Here is a 19,866-nt window from a genome sequence, read left to right on the forward strand (position 1 = left end):
TGAGATGCCCAGTGCCTACCTCTACATGGTAAGGACAGCACAAAGTCACCTCTGAAATGCCCAGTGCTTGTACATTGTGAGGGAATCACACCTGGTTGTCAGCACGGCATCACCTCTGAGATGTCCTCCCGTTCACATGTGTAGCAACAGAAAAGGTCTGGCTTAACAACTGTCATTCTCAGCTCCCAAACAAAGCAGAATAGGGTGTTGTACTCATATTTAAAGCTTTGTTTTGTATCGTATCTGTTTTTATAAATTGTCTATTTCTTTTTCCATGTAGGCTAAAGTTACATCTTCAATAAGCCAAGTAATAGGAAATTACTTTGCTCATCGCAGTGACCCTGGAATGTAGCATAGTATCAGAAAGTAGGAAAGTACCCCCCAAGAATGTGTTTTTAAGATGAGGGCACATCAGAAAGACCCAAGAATCAATCTAATAAAGCTCCCAGTGGCCTGAGCTAATATAATTTGAGCACCATAATAAATTTCAATCGTATTGAATTATCATCTAAAGAATAAAATAAATATCCATCAGCACATACTGATATAAATAAATAAATAAATAAACAAAAGAAGGAGGACCAATCTTTCTTACATAAGAAATCCAATTAATAAATGTAGAGAGAATTGGAGAAACAGGGAATCGCCACTGGAACACCACAGATATCATTGCTACGGGCAAGACTAATTGATAATTGCTAAAATTAGTGATTGAACCTTAAGGAGTAACAAGATATTTGCATCATATTTGTATCCCTTCCTAAATTTACTAACCACTCTTATGGTTTTAAAACATGACTTTGGGCCGGGCGCAATGGCTCACGCCTGTAATCCCAGCACTTTGGGAGGCCAAAGCGGGCGGATCACGAGGTCAGGAGATCGAAACCATCCCAGCTAACACTGTGAAACCCCATCTCTACTAAAAAAACACAAAAAAAAATTAGCCGGGCGTGTTGGCGGGCGCCTGTAGTCCCAGCTACTCGGGAAGCTGAGGCAGAGGAGAATGGCATGAACCCGGGAGGCAGAGCTTGCAGTGAGCTGAGATTGCGCCACTGCACTCCAGTCTGGGTGACAGAGCAAGACTCCGTCCCCAAAAAAAAAACAAACAAAAAAAAAAACATGACTTTCATACTCAAGTATAGACTGGACTTAGTGACCTGCTTTTATGAATAGATGACAGAAAGAGGAAAATTGTAACTTGACAGTGGGGAAACCTAACAGACATCACATTAGCCAGGTGATCAAAGTTAATGTTACCTGCAGTCATGCTGACATTATACGCCCACTAACATGATACAATGAGAAGGGCCTATCACCTCTGTGGTGTTCTTCTCCAAAATCCACAGCCTCAGAATGTTTATGAGAAACCATCAGATAAACCCAAGTTAAGGGCATTCTACAAAACACCTGACCACTACTCTTCAAAACATCTAAAGTCATGAAAGACAAGAAAGTACAGAGAAGCTATCACAGATTGGTGGAAACTAGGGGGACATGATGAGTGAAGGTATCAGGATATCCCAAACAGGGTCCTGGAACAGAAAAAGCACATTAACAGAAAAAGTTAAGAAGTCCAGGCCGGGCGCGGTGGCTCACGCCTGTAATCCCAGCACTTTGGGAGGCCGAGGCGCTCGGATCACAAGGTCAGGAGGTCAAGACCATCCTGGCGAACACGGTGAAACCCTGTCTCTACTAAAAATACAAAAAATTAGCCGGGCGTGGTGGTGGGCACCTGTAGTCTCAGCTACTCGGGAGGCTGAGGCAGGAGAATGGCGTGAACCTGGGAGGTGGGGCTTGCAGTGAGCCGAGATGGCACCCACTGCACTCCAGCCTGGGCGACAGAGCGAGCCTCCATCTCAAAAAAAAATTTGAGAAGTCCAAATAAAGTTGGTAGTTCTCTTGCTAATATTGCACCACATCAATGTCTTAGTTTTGATAAACATACTATGTAAGACGTTAACATTCGGGGAAGTTGGGTGAAGGGTGTATGGGAACACTCTGTACTGTCTTAGTAACTCTTTATGAATTCTAAAATTATTTCAAACTAAAAAGTTTTGTAGAATAGGTAGAGTTGCAAATAATTTGGTGAGAGGTGCAGATGGAGGTATCTCTTATCTGTGAGGCAATAAGTCAAGTAAATTGCTGAGAAAAATGTGGGTGGGAGAAAATGGCACAGAGGGCCTTTGTCATGACTTGCCTGAAGGTCGATACTGCATTAGAAAAAAATTATCCAAAAATGACCACACTGTGCTATAATGGTGCCATGTCTCCATGTATCTGCCACATCTGCATTCTCTGGGCTTGCTGTAGTGATGGGAGGGATTCAAATCCTCCTCTTCAGCAAAAGAAGTTTCTGGATGGATGGTCTGAGACAAGAAGGGATGTCCTTTCCCCGGGCTGCGCACGGATTCCAATGCCCCACTAAATGATGCTAACAGGCATCATCTCTGGCCACTGAAGCCCAGGCTCTTAAGTTTAATCATAAAACGCTTTGGTCTCATGGGCTGCAAACCACCAAGATAGAACTAAGATTGATAAGAAAAATATACTGTTTACTCAAAACAGGTGTATACCAGCCTACATATTTATAATGTCCTATTATACGGTTGTACAGTTCATATCCTCAATAATTCAGTAGGTATCTCGCTAACATCTATTTGAAATCCCCCCCAGAATAACATTTAGCAATAGCTTCCTGATCTCTTTAGAATGGTGTCCTTATTTTTCTTAAACATTTGATATGTTACACCACCCAGGTGGAAAATAGAACACAGAGTGTAGGATACACACTTACTCACCATAAAAACAACCATACTGTAACACCAAAATATATTTATCCAATTGGTCAAGGAAATTGAATTTAACATATGCTGTTATCGTACAAGCATTTTTAATGAAATAACATTTTGTATGTATATAGCACCTTTCTACTAAGGAGCAAAAATATGGCTCAGACATTATTACTCATTTTCACACTATCCTCGACAGGTGGATAAGTAGCAACATTTATACCAAGTTTTAATCACTGGGAAACAAAGACATGCATAAAGAGAGCAAATAAACCACAAATGGTAACCCAGAAAGTTGGCATTTTCCACCCCCCAATGCCCACTGTGGTCCCCTCACTCTTTTTTTTTCTGCAATATTAAAAGCTACTTTGAATATTGGTGGAAAAAAAATAGAGGAACAGTAGAGTGATGAAACAGGTATATACCAGCCTCCTCAGGAAACTGATGGTGGAGCTTAGACTGGAAACTGTTGAAAGTTAAAAATAATTCCCAAACCTTGACCATCTACTTGGACAAATTTGATGTGTACCAGGGACAAATGAAAGTATCCTTCCAAAATACGTCCCAAATTATTGTCAAGCCTTTCTGTAATAAAGGTCCATTCCTCAAGCTGCTGTCACATAATGTGCAGGTGATCAACAGCAAATCCATTAGCAACACAGGATAAAGAAATTTGTGTAGCCCCAATAGCAAAGACTTGGAACCAACCCAAATGTCCAACAATGGTAGACTGGATTAAGAAAATGTGGCACATATACACCATGGAATACTATGCAGCCATAAAAAATGATGAGTTCATGTCCTTTGTAGGGACATGGATGAAGCTGGAAACCATCATTCTCAGCAAACTATCACAAGGACAAAAAACCAAACACCGCATGTTCTCACTCATAGGTGGGAACTGAACAATGAGAACACATGGACACGGGAAGGGGAACATCACACACCTGGGCCTGTTGTGGGGTGGGGGGAGGGGGGAGGGATAGCATTAGGAGATATACCTAATTTTAGATGACGAGTTAATGGGTGCAGCACACCAACATGGCACATGTAACAAACCTGCACGTTGTGCACATGTACCCTAAAACTTAAAGTATAATTAAAAAAAAAAAAAGAAATTTGTGTAGCCCAGAAACTCTTGCATAAAACATAACTTCAACAAGACAGTAGTACATTTTGGATGATGCATTCCTGAGGAGCTCTTTAAAAATTCATTCAAGGAAATAAAAAAAAAAGTCTCTTTAATGATAAATGCAAATTACAGGCATAGTTGGAGCCTAAAATTATGTCTTGAATAGGAAAATTACCAGAGGATGAATTCCTTAAGAGCACGACTGTCTTTCAAGAGTTTCTAATATATTTAATCTCCAGTAAACTCTAGGATATCCAAAGGTGTAGTACCCTTTTTTTTTCCAGAATATGCAGTGTCTGAGAAACTTGTATCACATCTATCCATGCATTCAACTAATGTCAGCAAAACTAGATGACAAATCATACATAAAGGGAAGGATGAAAATATTTTGTTGTAAACTTCTGAGACATAGGGATAAGGAAAGGAAGTTACATAATATTCTAATAACAAATTTCAATAATGTGAAAAAAGAAAAATAACAGCCAACACTTATGAAGTACTTCTATGCACTAGTATGGGTAACGGCGCCAGGCACAATACATGCGTTATCTCATTTCCTCATCACAAGCTTCCTTTGAGATATACCCATTTTATAGACTTAGATTAAGATGCTTGTCAGAGGTCAGGGTACAAGCAGCTGTCTGACTCCAAACCCTTTATGGAGGCTGCCTGGCTTTTTCTCTAGCTCTTCACTTCTTAATTAGTGCAGAGAATCAAGTCTTGCCTTTCATTTCTTCCCCTGCACTGAAGAAAAATCTAAAAGTCATCCTTTTGTAACATTGAAAACTTGGAATAAAAAATTCATTAAAATATTATCTATAGAAACACTCCCAAAGCCTCATAGCAAGAAATTCAGATAAAAGCACATATTTTCACTACTTTAATGTGCATGAGTTTAAAGTCCATGACTGTTATTTTTATCTTCATCATTCCCTATTTGACTGATTTTTAACCTATCATGTTACACCATGGAGTGGCAAATACTATCAAGGAATCAAAAAAAGCAACTCCTTCAATAATCTAATTTATAGGAAATAGAGTAAATTACAATGATGCCTCTTTAATCTAATTAATTAGCTAATTGATTAATTTAATTAGTTAATTAACTAATGTCCCTGATGGGCAAAGTTTTCTTAACCAGAGAGCTTCCTGGCCCACACAAGAAAGGAAAAATTAATGATCCATCAGCTGTTTCTGAACTTCAGGATAGTTGGAGGCCCAGCTTCAGGGATCACGTCTTCTGTGAGGTCACAAAGGAAATTACGCCTTCAAGAATGCACTGTTCAAGCCATATCCTTGACTCCGATGAATCAATCAGGAAAGGGCTATTGTTATAAATAAGCAAATGAGACTGGTCATCAAGCAACTGGTCCTCAAGGTTTGACTTCTTTTCTTCTCCACCACTGAACAGATTTACTTTTTTTTTTTTTTTTTTGAGATGGAGACTCTCTGTCGCCCAGGCTGGGGTGCAGTGGTGCTACCTCGGCTCACTGCAACCGCTGTCTCCTGGGTTTTTAGGCAATTCTCCTGCCTCAGCCTCCCGAGTAGTTGGGATTACAGGCACCCACCACCATGCCTGGCTAATTTTTGTATTTTTAGTAGAAACAGAGTTTCACCATGTTGGCCTGGCTGGTCTCAAACTCCTGACCTCAAGTGATCCACCCGCCTTGGCCTCCTGGAGTGCTGGGATTACAGGCATGAGCCACCATGCCTGGCCTAAATTTACTTTTAATCTCATGAGATGCTGAGGACTAAGACCCCCTCCTTCCCAGGGCCCAAAGCAAGAAAATGGGATGGAGAGGCCCATCTCCAAAGATCTTACCCTTGGAATAAGGGTCTTTTTCCCACACCTCCTTGACATCTATTCCCCCTGGGCTGTTTTTATTTTCCTAACCCACACTCCATCAGCTTTAAGCACTAAAGAACTTTTTGGCCACCTCAGGACAAAAATTTGTTACAAAAATCACCTCCTAAATCAAATGAGCTGAGCCTCACTAAGTAAATCAGGCTTTGGACAGGCTCCGCTTCCTGTTGGTTGTTCATACATTTGTGTTGCTCAAGTCTTCATCTTAGAACCCAACCCCGCCTTGCTGGATTCCTGATGGAATTTCTCTTTGCACCTGAACAATTCTTCAGGCATCTTCTCCTTTTAATTTTGAAGAATGTGATACCTTTCTGTCAGAAAAGGTATCCAGGTCTTAGATTCACACTCAAGCCATGAATAATACTCTTCTGGGCATACATAAATACACGATTTTCCCAAATTCTCCTTCTCCTAGCACAGAGACCAAAGCCTTCTTCCTTCCCTTTCCCTAGCCTTCTTTCAAATTCTCACCTTTCCTGGCATTTGTTTACTTGCTCAACCTTCTAACAAACATTTATTTAACAAACATCTGCTATGATCCAGGCACTGAACTAAGTGACACAAAGGTGAGTAAGACACAGTCCTTGCCGTAAGAAGTTCATGCTCTTATGAAGCAGACCAGTTATCAGACCATTACAGTGCATGGTGGAAGGGCAGAGATAGCGTTAAGCCCAGGACATTATAGGGCCCCTCAAAAAGAGCCAAGTCACCCCACTGGGGACCCTGTCTGTTTCCCCTCACTCTTCAGGTTCTAGGTGTTTTCAGAGTTGTGTTTCTTTAAAGTGTTTAAATAGTTTCCTTTCTAGCAACCTCCCCCATGGATAACGACGTAGACCTTCCCAACTCCCAATCTGAATCATTGTATTACTTCCAGGCCAGCGACTCATATATTCCTAGACTCATCAACTTCTCATCATCCGTACTACCACAAACATCAGAATATCTAAAACCCCTAGAGTCCAATCCACTCCAGTCCATGTTTGAGTTTTCCAAATCCACATGTCATTTGAAGGTGAATTTTCCATGCATTGTGTTTTGAAATCAACAGACATATACTTAATCCTTTTGCCTCAGTTTCTGATCATCATAAAGACAGGAAAAACAGAAATCCTCAGTTCATTTTAATTCTCTTAGTCCTCAACGTGATATTCGTTCACATCCTTCATGACTGGCCTCTCTTTTACCTATCTGGTTTTGAATTACATTGGCTAACTTCAGAAAAGTCATCGTTACTAAATTGTCTCTGAAAGAAAGTAATTGAGGCAGAAGATATATGCAGTTCTTCAGCAATTGTTTGAGCTGCACTGTCAGTGTAGAAATAAGCAGCCTAATAAGAGGTCAGATACGTGGATTTTAAAAGCCTATTTATCATACAGTATTCAAACCCTTTAATCATTTTATAAGCCTCACATTAAATGTCAGTTGTCATTCTTTTTCCCATCATGATTACTTAACAAACCAAAATACCATTATGTTGTTCCTTTTCTAGAAAAAAAAAATGCTTCAACGTGAAAGAAATAAAGCTACAGAGAGACAGGGCTGGCGCAGGGGATCTGGACCTAGAGAACCAGCTTCAAATTCTGCTCCACAACCTATTTATTGTGTGATTTGAAGCCAATTATTTAAGTTCTTTGAGCTTCAGTCCCTTGATCTATTCAAGGAAGATAATAATAATCTCTGCCTTACAGTGTTTTCAAGGGTGAGTCCACACCCATCCTTGAGTGAATCATCACCTTGGTGGGCTCCATGGCACCCTCCTCCCCCACCCCACCCCCGGCCGGCCCTCCTTTCTGAAGCAGCCTCTCCCACCCTGAGGTGCCCCACCCTCCAAGTTTCCTGCTGCTCTGGGCACTCCTACATCTCTGCACCATGGCCCACACACACCGGAGTCCTGGCATCTCAGTCCTAGTCTTCATTCTTATTTAGTAGCCTCTCTTTAAGATGGTTCATCCACACTGGCAGCTTCCATTTTCAGATGCCTCCAATCTTTCATTTGAATATCAGACCTTTATAGGCAACTATTCACACCATACCTTCTTTTGGGGGGTATCTCCCACTCAACAGGTCTAAATGAAGTTTGAGTCCTCTCCTAAATCTAGCGGGCTTCCCATGTTCTTATTCTCAGCTAGTGGCACTGCCACTCATCCAGCTGTGCGAGCCAGACACCCAAAGAGTCATCCCAGACCCCTCACCTGCTCCCCAACCCCAGCCATCACAAGCCCTGTCCATTCTCCCTCCTAAAGAGCTCAGAAATATGCCTTCAGAACTACGTCTTCATTGGACCACCCCGGTCTGAGGTACAACCCACCTATTTCCTAAACCATCCCATCGTACTCACTGCCGTGCCCCAGCAGAGCGCCCTTCTCAATGCACAGATGTTGTGGTGTCATTTCCCTACTTCTGTCCTCTCACAGCTCTGCATTGCTCTTTGGGTCAAAAATAAAATCTTTTTTTTAAATTTATATAAATATATGGGGTTCAAGAACAATTTCGTTACATGCATAGATTGCATAATGGTTAAGTCGGGGTTTTTACATATTCATTATCCAAATAATGTATATTGCACCCATTAAGTAGTTTCTCATCCTCCACCCCCTCCCGCTCCCTCATCCTTCCAAATCTCCATTGTCTATTATTCCAATCTCTATGGCCATTTGTACACATTTTTTCACTTCCACTTACAAGTGGGAAATATGCAATATTTGTCTTTCTGTATCTGGGTTGATTTGCTCAAGGTAATGGCCTTCAGTTCCATCCATGTTGCTGCAAAAGACATGATTTCATTCCTTTTTATGGCTAAATAGTATTTCATTGTGTTTATATGCCACATTTTCTTCATTCAATTTAGGATATTTAGGTTGATTCCATATCTTTGCTATTGTGAATGGTGCTGCAATAAACATAAAAGTACAGGTATCTTTTTGATATATTGATTTCTTTTCCTATGGGTAGATGCCCAGTAGTGGAGTGGCTGAATCAAATGGTATATCTATTTTTGGCTCTTTGAGAAATCTCCATACTGTTTTGCACAGAGGTTGTACTAATTTACATGCCCACCAGCACTGTTTAAGAGTTCACTTTCTCCATATCCTCACCAACATCTGTTAGTTTTTGTCTTTTTAATAATAGCCATTCTAACATTTGTTTTCTTAGTATTGAGTTGTTTCATTTCCCTATATATTTTTGGATATTATCCCCTTATCATATGCATGGTTTGCAAATATTTTCTCCCATTTTGCAGGTTGTCTCTTCACTCTGTTGATTATTTCTTTTGCTGTGTAGAAGCTTTTTAGTTTAAGTCCCATGCATCTGTTTTTGTTTTTGTTTTTGTTTTTCGATTGGGGGGATGGAGTTTCGCTCTTGTTGCCAGGCTAGAGTGCAATGGCACGATCTTGGCTCACTTCAACCTCTGCCTCCTGGGTTCAAGAGAGTCTCCTGCCTCAGCCTCCTGGGTAGCTGGGATTACAGGCGCGCATCCCCACGTCCAGCTAATTTCTTTGTATTTTTAGTAAAGACGAGGTTTCACCATGTTGGCCAGGCTGGTCTTGAACTCCTGACCTCAGGTGATCCACCTGCCTCGGTCTCCCACAGTGCTGAGATTATAGGCGTGAGCCTGTTTTTGTTTTAAAATCCTTAAGGAGATGTACACGACCCCACAGGACCTGACCCTGGCTCCCGGCCAGCCTCACCTCCCATGGCTTTCCTGCCCCTGTATTACCTCACTTCCTTCCCCTTTAGCCATCCTTCGGGCCTCAGTTCAAGTTCACATCTTCAGGATGGTAGTCTACGACCCCTTATACCAGTTGAGACCATCTTTTAGGCATTCCTACCTCACCACTTGATTTTCTTTCAGGGTATTTAGTACATTTGCTGTTGTAAGATAACGTGGGCCTTTTCATCAATGGCAGTCTCCCGTGCTAGAATACATAATCCAGTACTGCAGGACATAGCTATATATTGCTTATCCATGAATTCCCAGTGGCAAAGCCCCAGTAGAATTTCAATACATATATATTTATTAAAAAGTGATTTATTAATTACTTTTTAAATTAATTAATATTGAGGTGCACCAGCAACATAGTTAAAACTCCTCATTCCCCAAACTACTCAGATCCATTTCTGGCTCTGCCACATACTGGTTTTGTGACTTTGGGGAAGTTATCTTATCGTTATCCCTGACACTTCCTCTCCAAAATTGAGTAGCTTGCATAGGAAAGTCAAGAAGACAAAAGTTAGCCTCCCAGCAACTAGCTAAACAAAACCCACTTTTCAGTCAAAACCAAGAATACCTATTTAATGATAATAATAAAAAAGAAGAAACCATGCTCCTAGTACACATTAATTCATCAAAGGATAATAAAGAAGAAAAAGAGGAGTCACAGCCACTTGTGCTCTGCTAATAAGTAACAGTCTTGCCAAGACCTTAGGAGGACAACATCAGCCAGCACCCATTTTCAATACAGGTGACTCGGTGGACCTTTGTTTCCCATCAAGTCCCTTTCCTCTAGCACCCAAGCACCCCTGCAGCCCACCCCTGACACAGCCTGGTAGCAGGTGCTTCTCCTGCAAGGGAAACAGCCAGGCCCTGTGCCCCATATGCAATGAACAAGGCAGGGCTCTGCCCCTCTCCTGCAAGCAATCAACACAGGCCCTGAAGCATGAGATTTAATTGCTTGTTCATTATTTTAGCTTGCAGGGGCTACAAGGAAGTATGGCATTTCTGAGCACACCATCCGAGGGAACCCTGGGAGCTGTCAGATTAAAAAATAACAACAGAAACGAGAAAGGAGCCTCTCTTTAGCCAAATGGCTTCAGGTGCCCGTGACTCAATGCAAGGGCCCCCATCAAAACCCATGGCAGCCCCTCTCTGTTTGTCCTGCCCTTTTCAATTCTGTCTGAGTGGGGAGGAGAATGCCACAAAGAGACGAGAATTTGAACTCGCAGCCCCTGAGTGCACCAATGCCCTTTTTCTGCCTGATTGTATACTTGAAGTGCCTGTAAAGTCAATAACTTCCCATGGTTTCACAGCAAAGTCAAAAGGTTAAAAAAGAGACATTGTCCTTTTGAAGATGTGGAAAGTAATGAGTGAGCAGGCTGAATCCTCTGTGGGTTTAAAAGCCTGTGCCATTCTGCTTTAAGGTGTCAAAATTGCCTTAAATTTTTAGCTTTGTTATACCCTGCTGCTACACAGATATCATAGAACCAGGCTGAGTCTCTCAATTTGGAGATCATTTTTTCTCTCTAAAAACTTGTTGAAATATATATGTTAGCACAGACATTTTCTTAACATTTTCTGTTCAAAATATAGTATTTTTTCAGATGCATCTTAAGAGATCAGAATAGTCAAACAGTAGATCTCTTTTTGAAAAAAAAAATTGTATACCATCTTCAAGTTTTAAGCACAAAGGTTACAGCTAGTCCTCCTCCCCTATTTTATTTCCACTGTTGGAGCAGATTTGACCTCGTCTCTCTAAAGGCAGAAAACTTCAACAAAGGTGAGAGGACTATTTAAAGCGATGAAAAAGATTCTGAATGAAGGATTTTGCCCTGGATGAAGCCTGAAAGAAATGCAGTGCTTAGGAAGTGGATAAAAGTCAATAGCAACAATTCTTGGCTTTGGATGAAAACTTGAAGGTGCACTTTTCCCCAGTGATATGAAAAACAAGAAAATAAAAACAACCAACCAGAGACCCGTAACTCTTCTGGTTCTGTGGCGTCTGTACATTCATGTGATAGAAACTTACTAAATCCCAAAGGGTCCCTGGCAAAGCCCAGGCTCCGTGATGGGCTGAGAGCCCTGCCACTGCACCAGGAGAAAAGGAGTCACTAGGCTTCGGATGGGGAAGAGAAAAGCCTCTTTCCTCCCTCCCATTCCAAAAGAGAAGAAAAAACCTGGACAGCCAGATACAAGCAGCCTTGAAAAATCACTCTAGAGGAGAAAAGACAGGAAGAATGTCATCGAGAAAGAAGGCCAGGAGAGGATGCCACAAAGGTGCTTTTTCTCCCTCCTCTCTTTCCACCTTTCCCATAGTCTCCTCTCCACCTAAACGACCCCCAATCAACTCTCTCCAGATTCTACTCTCCCACCGGAGCCTGACTGACACATTTTCCAAAAGCAGGTTAAAAAAAGCAAGGGTCTCAGGCTCCGTCACATCCAACTCATTCTTATGTGCCAGGGAGATACAGAGCCACATTCTGTGTATCTGTTGGATTGTGAATTACCACTTGGGCATAGAGACTGGTCTCAACAGTGAGATTCCCCTCGTGTAGGAACCCTCATGCTTCAGCTAGGTGCTTACAGGTGAAGAGTTACTCAAAAATCATCATGTAGCAAATTTGGTTTCCACACCTTAAATTAGAGAGACTCAGGCGTGCACCAAGGAAACGTCTAGCTATGCTCTTCTCCAGCCTCTCACCGGGCTGCAGGTCTTAGCTTTTAGTATCACTGGGGTGTCCCGGGCTTTTGTTTGAATGGCTCAACCTGGCTGCAATCATTGCAGCCGATCGCTCTGCCAGCATCTGCATTGTCTGCTTCAAAAGTCAGGCTCACCAGAGAGAGCAATTTCTTTTTTCTTTTTCTTTTTTTTGAGACGGAGTCTCGCTCTGTCGCCCAGGCTGGAGTGCAGTGGCGTAATCTCGGCTCACTGCAATCTCCGCCTCCTGGGTTCAAGCAGTTCTCCTGCCTCAGCCTCCTGAGTAGCTGGGATTACAGGCGCCCGCCACCACATCCAGCTAATTTTGTATTTTTAGTAGAGACTGGGTTTCACCATGTTGGTCAGGCTGGTCTCGAACTCCTGACCTTGTGATCCGCCTGCTTCGGCCTCCCAAAGTGCTGGGATTACAGGTGTGAGCCACCGTGCCTGGCCAGAGGAAACAATTTCTTAATGGAAAGAATTTGTTATTAGTTTAGGCCACAAGCCTGAATCTTTGAAACAGCATGACTCAGATAGTTCATCACTCAGAGAATTAAGGTTTTGCATCCCTCGGTTCTGAGTGAGGTTTTCTTCCTCTTTTGAGAAGAGCAGCATTAAATTACCAGAGCCATCTCATCGGTCATTCATTTAGTATTTACCACACCTACTATGTGCAAAAGGCAGTGGGAAGTAGAAAGATTAGAAAGAAAAACTCCTGCCATCCAAGGGGTTAACAGCTTACAGATCTTAGAACCACACAACTTAGAAAAAAAAGTTTAAGATTATATAGAGAATCCAAGTGCTTTATTTCACAGATGAAGACATAAGACCCTGAACTATTCTATAACTCCTGTGGTAAACTACAGAGGCAATTCCCAAACCCAGGTCTGCTGACTCAAAGAAGGACTGTGCCTTTCCATTCTGTTCCTAACAGCTAAGAAACTCCTGCATCCCCAGATCCCAGAGGCTTATATGGTCTGGAAAGCTGGTGTCGTGGTCATCAGTCAAAAGCACTCACTGCATACGTACACCATGGCCAGCACACACCTGGAGGTTTGGACACACACATTCACACACTTACATAATCCTCACAATAAGTGTTTGAGGCAAGAATTGGTATTCAGGATGTAAGCTTGAGAAGCTGGGGGGAGTGTTAAATAACCCATTCAAGGTTAAAGGGTCCCCGTGGTGAATTGAGGACTCAAAACTCAGTCTGTTCTCTGCCCCTACACACCAGTAGCCTCGATTTCCAACTCGTTTGGTTATTCCTTGTTATAGACTGAATGCTGTGTCTCTCTCCCAAAATTCACATGTTAAAACCCTACTCCCCGATGTGAGAATATCAGGAGGTGAGGCCTTTGGGGGTGATTAGGGTGAAGCCCTCATGGTGGGATTAGAGTCTTTGTTAGAAGAGACACAACAGAGATGATTGTTTCTCTTCAGCCATGTGAGGACAGGACAAGACGTCCATCTACGAACCAGAAAGAGGGATCTCACCAGACACCAAATCTGCTGCTGCCTTGATCTTGGACTTCCTAGCCTCCAGAACTATAAGAAATAAATGTTTGTGGCTGGGTGAGGTGGCTCACACCTGTAATACCAGCACTTTGAGAGGCTGAGGCGGGTGGATTACTTGAGGTCAGGAGTTCGAGACCAGCCTGGCCAACACAGTGAAACCCCATCTCTAATAAAAATACAAAAATTAGCCAGGCATAGTGGCACATGCCTGTAACTCCAGCTACTCGGGAGGCTGAGGCAGGAGAATCACTTGAATCCAGGAGGCCGGGGTTGCACTGAGCAGAGATCTCGCTACTCCACTCCAGCCTGGGCGACAGAGTGAGACTCCGTCTCAAAAAAAAAAAGAAAAGAAAAAAAGAAAAAAAAAAGAAATGTTTGTTGTTTGAGCCAGTCCATGATATTCTGCCATAGCAGGCCAAACTGACTCATATACTCCCTTTGTTTCATCTTCATGTATTTCTGGCATCCTGGTTTGTAACAAATAATGGAATCTTAGAATTTTAGAAATTGAAATGTTCTCAGAGACCATGTGGTCCAGATCTCTCATTTTACAGGTGAGGCAAGTGGTCCAGTGACTCATCTGTGCTCACTGCATGAGAGCCATGCAAGCTCTAGAGAGCACACACAGAGTGAGAGAGACAAGCCGAGATCCTGTCCCCGTAGGCACTAGTGTATCCATGGTTTGGTACAACATTGGGTGTCATCCTGGTTGTCCCAAGCCTCAGCAGCCGGTGGATGTCAATAAGGTCACATTATTAATAAAAATAAGAATGAATAGGCCGGGCGCGGTGGATCACGCCTATAATCCCAGCACATTGGGAGGCCGAGGCGGGTGGATCACCTGAAGTCAGGAGTTCAAGACCAGCCTGGCCAACATGGTGAAACCCCGTCTCTACTACAAATACAAAAATTAGCCAGGCATGGTGGCAGGCACCTATAATCCCAGCTACTCGAGAGGCTGAGGCAGGAGAATCGCTTGAACCCAGGAGGCAGAGGTTGCAGTGAGCTGAGATTGCACCATTGCACTCCAGCCTGGGGGACAAGAGCTGGATTTCATCTCAAAAAAAAAAAAAAAAAAAAAAAGAATGAATAAACAAGTAACTAACTTGATGTAGGAGCCATACATATGCATCTGTCTACTACAGAGCCTCCCGCCCCTCTCCAAGTCCTCACCTTGGTTTTCTGGAGTCCCGTGGTCTGTCTCACAACCACCCTTATATGTACTCAACACCCCAGACGTCATTTGAGTGTTTTCCTCAATCATGACCATAGCTGCTCAGACCTTCTCTGTCAGCATCTGCTTCCCCTGAAAAGATTTCTTTCTCATGCCTTTCTGTCTGTGTCCACAGTGTCTCAATTGAAGGTCCTTGGTCTTCAAGGAACCAAGACTACACTGAGATCCATTCTTGGGAAGTGCCTCTCCTTCAACCTCCGGTACCACTCATCCATAAACACCAACACTATTTGCCTCTTTGTGTATCATAAAGTCCCTCATTGAAACAGCCCCTTAAACTCCAGTCTGGAAAACAAACCCACTGGGCTACAATAAGAACCAATTTTAGACACAGACATCCTCCCACTTCCTCTTGACCCCAGGTATTCTCTGCCAAACTACAATTCCTCCAGGAAATCAGCATCTAGCAGCACCCCCACCAACCCATGGAGGTTTGTTTTGTTTTGTTTTTTGAGACAGGTCTCACTCTGTCACCCAGGCTAGAGTGCAGTGGTACAACCACAGCTCACTGCAGCCTGACCTCCCCGGGCTCACGTGATCATCCATGAGGCAGTTTGAAGAGATCTGAAGCCCAAGATAGACTCAGGCTGGAATTCCCACTATATACAGGTCACTAGATTTAATTTAAATGTGTCTTAAATTTCACAAATGATGCAACAGAATGAAAGATGTAATTCAACAAAACTTGTCCAAGAAGGTCCTTGGTATTTTCTCTCTTCTGGAAATCATCGATGAAAAAGCATGTTATATGAGCTAGCAGAACTCAGTCAGTTAAGGGAAAAAAGGTCATTTAATTGCACAATAAGAAGCATAATGTGGGCAGAAAAGAACTCCCTGTTTATTGCATATGTCAAATTATTTAGGTATCTATGAGAGAAAGGTGGATGTACCAAAAACCTAGGCTATGTGTAATCATTGAAATTGAGTATCAGATTGCACTCTATGCTTCCTGGAAGCCAAGGTAAAAAGTAAAATAGGTAAGTTATATAGTTCTCCACTATTATTCATCTCATAGAGTAACACAGCGTCTGGTCTGGTCTAACAGCCAAAAGCCTATCATCACAAAAAGAAATGAATTAATTGCCTGGGTCTCTAAATAAAGGGAATAAATCACCCTAGACAACAAGGTCTTGGAGGGCCTCATCTGGGTGGTCTCTACCACATGCCCCGCAACAGTTTTCCATATGCCCCGCAACAGTTTTCCATAATAGAAACAGATTTCATCTGACTTTTTTTTTTTTTTTTGAGTCAGAGTTTCACTCTTGAGTGCAATGGTGTGATCTTGGTTCACCGCAACCTCCGCCTCTCGGTTTCAAGCGATTCTCCTACCTCAGCCCCCCAAGTAGCTGGGATTACAGGCATGCACCACTATGCCCCGCTAATTTTGTATTTTTAATAGAGAAGGGGTTTCACCATGTTGGTCAGGCTGGTCTCGAACTCCTGACCTCAAGTGATCTGCCCGCCTCAGCCTCCCAGAGCGCTGGGATTACAGGTGCGAGCCACCGCTCCCGGCCCTCATCTGACTTCTTATGCAAAGTACAAGAAGATGTCACATTGCTTTCTTTCCTATCGTTTTGAGAAGGTGTTTTTACAAAGACCTCCTGTTCTGAACACTGCTCATTCTGCCTCTGATGAGCCCAGCTTCCTGGATGGACCACACATGCTACCAGGCATGGCTTATGATACCCTTGAGCCTGGTTTATGATGACCCTTGGTGTTCATTTTCCTCATCATTTTCAGCCTGGGCCAGCTTGTCTCTCTTGGACATACGAAGGTGCCTTGTTAACCTCTTTTTACCCTCTCCCATAGCCAGTGCACAAAAAATACTTGGATCTCGGGTCATTGTTCCCTGACCATAGGCTTTGTTGAGATTAGAAATAACTGGTTCTTTCAAAGAGAATGCCTGCATTAACCAAGTATATTCTAAAGATATGTAGCAAATGCTACATTTGTAATCATCATAAAGCTGAAAGGAAAAAGAAACACTGCAAACATACTGAAACAATTAAGCAATGTTCGTTCCTGACTTTGGGCTGGGAAGAATATTCTTTGTGCACCGTATAGTCGGTAAGACAACATTCTGAGGCCCACGTTTTAGTTAGTTACCAACTCCTAGAAGCCAATGGAAAATCACAGTCTTTGATGTGTAAAATAACTGAGAAAAAGGGTGTAGAGCCTTATAAAATACCTGAGCTTCATCTGGACCAGCCAGGAGCAAGACTTGAAATCCTCTTACTGAGGAAAATGAAGGAATGCACACTTGCCTTTTGAGGCACAAAATAAAAGAAACCTATAAAATTTGTGTGGCACAGTGTCCCAGAAATCAATTATGTAATTCTTAGAGCAAAAACCTGCTTATAATCTGCTGTTTAACAAAATTTTTAAGGGTTATAAAAGGTTTATTAAAATCTTACCATACGGTCAAACTGATTCAGATTAAATACCTTTGTCTATAAGGTTTGATTAAGGTTTGGGTTTAACATAAATAGTACATTAATGTAAAGGTGAAATTTGGCTTATTGGGTATAAAAATCATACAGGGAGCACTGCCAAATATGAAATGGTATTTGGCTTTCTTTGGGCTATAGTTGCATAAATATGTTATTGGTATGTGATCTGAAATAATGGGAAACTCCTATAATTCTGACATGACTTAGTGTATGTTATTAATAATTATAAGAAAAACCTGTTGTACTTTTATTCCAATGTTCAATTTATCGAAAAACTGAATAATATCCCTTTAATTTTAGCCAATATGTTCACACAGATAATTTCTTCTATGAGATTAAGATTTCACAGACCTTTAACAACTTGCCTAAACCTTCAGCTTTATCCTAATTTAAAACAGTCCTTTAACTCTCTAAACTTAGGCAAGAAATCCACATTCCCATGCCTTCTTATAATCTTTTACCAAAAGTACATTCTACTTCCCTCCCACACTTTGAAGGTAAAACTGTTTCTTCAGCAGTCTCAATTACATGTTACAATGTTAACTCTTTTTTTTTTTTTTTTTTTTTTTTTTGAGATGCAGTCTCGCTCTGTCGCCAGGCTGGAGTGCATACAATGTTAACTCTTAGCAACTTTTATTTTTGGTGAAAAACCTGGTTAGTAAGTGATTTTAATTATGTACCAGGTGTGGAGCCCAGGACCCAGACAAAATTAGATAAAGGACTCATTCCCTAAGGCAGGAATTGAACCCTGAACCTGGGCCGCCACTGTGAAAAGAGAAAGCATCACTACATGGTTACAAGGTCAGGCTCCCCAAGACATACAAGACAAGAGGGAAATCTCATCCAGTTTTGTTTTTAGGGACCTGCAGCAAAATTTATAACTGACCAGTTTGCTGGGCCACCTTGAACAGTCGGCTTACAGGTGTCCTAAGACCATGTTCCATCCTATGATACCCCTCTTTATGGCAGAGCAATACAGAAAGACACACAAAGCACACCAGATTCACTATAGCTTAGGACTAGCCTCACAAATCCTTTTTTTCCATTAATCTAAACTTTTACGGAGGAGATAAACAATGATTTTTACCGTTCATTCAACCAGTTTGCACACACAGAGAGAGAGAGACAGAAACAGACAGAGAGAGGGAGAGGAAGCATTGCTTGAGGCAGGGTGGGGAAGGCCAGGTGCTCAGGGAGACCACAGAAAGACCCACCCATTGCAGTGACACTGAAAAGTTCAGGCAGCTGCTTGTCAGTAGAAAAGGGATATTTTCCAGTGGTATCATCAGCTCTCGAGTTTCCCCTTTTAGGGAGGAAAAAGCTCCCCATGTCCCACAATCCTATATGTGCCTAATCCTGTCACCCACAGCCCTCAGCAAAGAGTTCAAGGCAGATTAATCCAAAGAGAATAGCAGTTAACGTCTCATAATACCAAACCCATTCTTAGCCAAAAAGGACTTTACTGAAAGGGGCTTCTAACCCCTTAAATCTTAAAAGGGACCCTAACCCTCCTAAGTTGGGCCTTTAACCCAAGGTAGGTCAGGTGTCCTTGCCTTTTATCAAGAGCGGCCTCTGACCCACTCTGTCTTAGGAGAGACTCTGACTCCCCTAAGTTGGGCCTCTAACCCAATTCCATCCTTTACCTGGGTACCCCACCACTTACCCAAAGTTGGCCTATCAGTGCTGCACTCTATTTCCTTTGGGTCGGGGGGTTTCTTCAGTATCGTCCCCTCAGGGTTCACTAGAAAAATGTTACTGGCCCCCACCACTTACCAAAAGTTAGCCTTTGGGTGGGGGTTTTCTGCACTGCAGTCCCTTCAGTGGTCACCAGAAAGATGCTACAGGAAAGGAGTCCCAATCCAGACCCCAAAAGAGGGTTCTTGGATCTCATGCTAGAAAGAATTCAGGGCGAGTCTTTGGAGTACAGGGAAAGCAAGTTTATTAGGAGAGTAAAGGAATAAAGAATGGCTACGCCACAGACAGAGTAGTCCCGAGGCTGTTGGTTGCCCATTTTTATGGTTGTTAATGATGATATGCTAACAAGAGGTAGATTATTCTTGCCTCCCCTTTTTAGACCATATAGGGTAACTTCCTGACGTTGCCATGGCATTTGTAAACTGTCATGGCGCTTGTGGGAGTATAGCAGTGAGGACGACCAGAAGTCACTCTCATCACCATCTTGGTTTTCATGGCTCTCAGCCAGCTTCTTTACTGCAACCTGTTTTATCAGCAAGGTCTTTAAGACCTGTATCTTCTGCCAACCTCCTCTTTCATCCTGTGACTGAGAATGCCTTAACTTGCTGGGAATGCAGCCCAGTAGGTCTTAGCCTCATTTTACCAAGCCCTTATTCAAGATGGAGTTGCTCAGGTTCAAACACCTCTGACAGTAGTTTTTAACTCTTAGTAACCTTCATTTCTAGTGAAAACTCTAGAAAGTAATTTTGAATTGTTTCGTATCAGTTATTT

The sequence above is a fragment of the Homo sapiens genome, chromosome 21, assembly GCF_000001405.40.
Source record: "Homo sapiens chromosome 21, GRCh38.p14 Primary Assembly".
Lineage (NCBI taxonomy): Eukaryota > Metazoa > Chordata > Mammalia > Primates > Hominidae > Homo > Homo sapiens.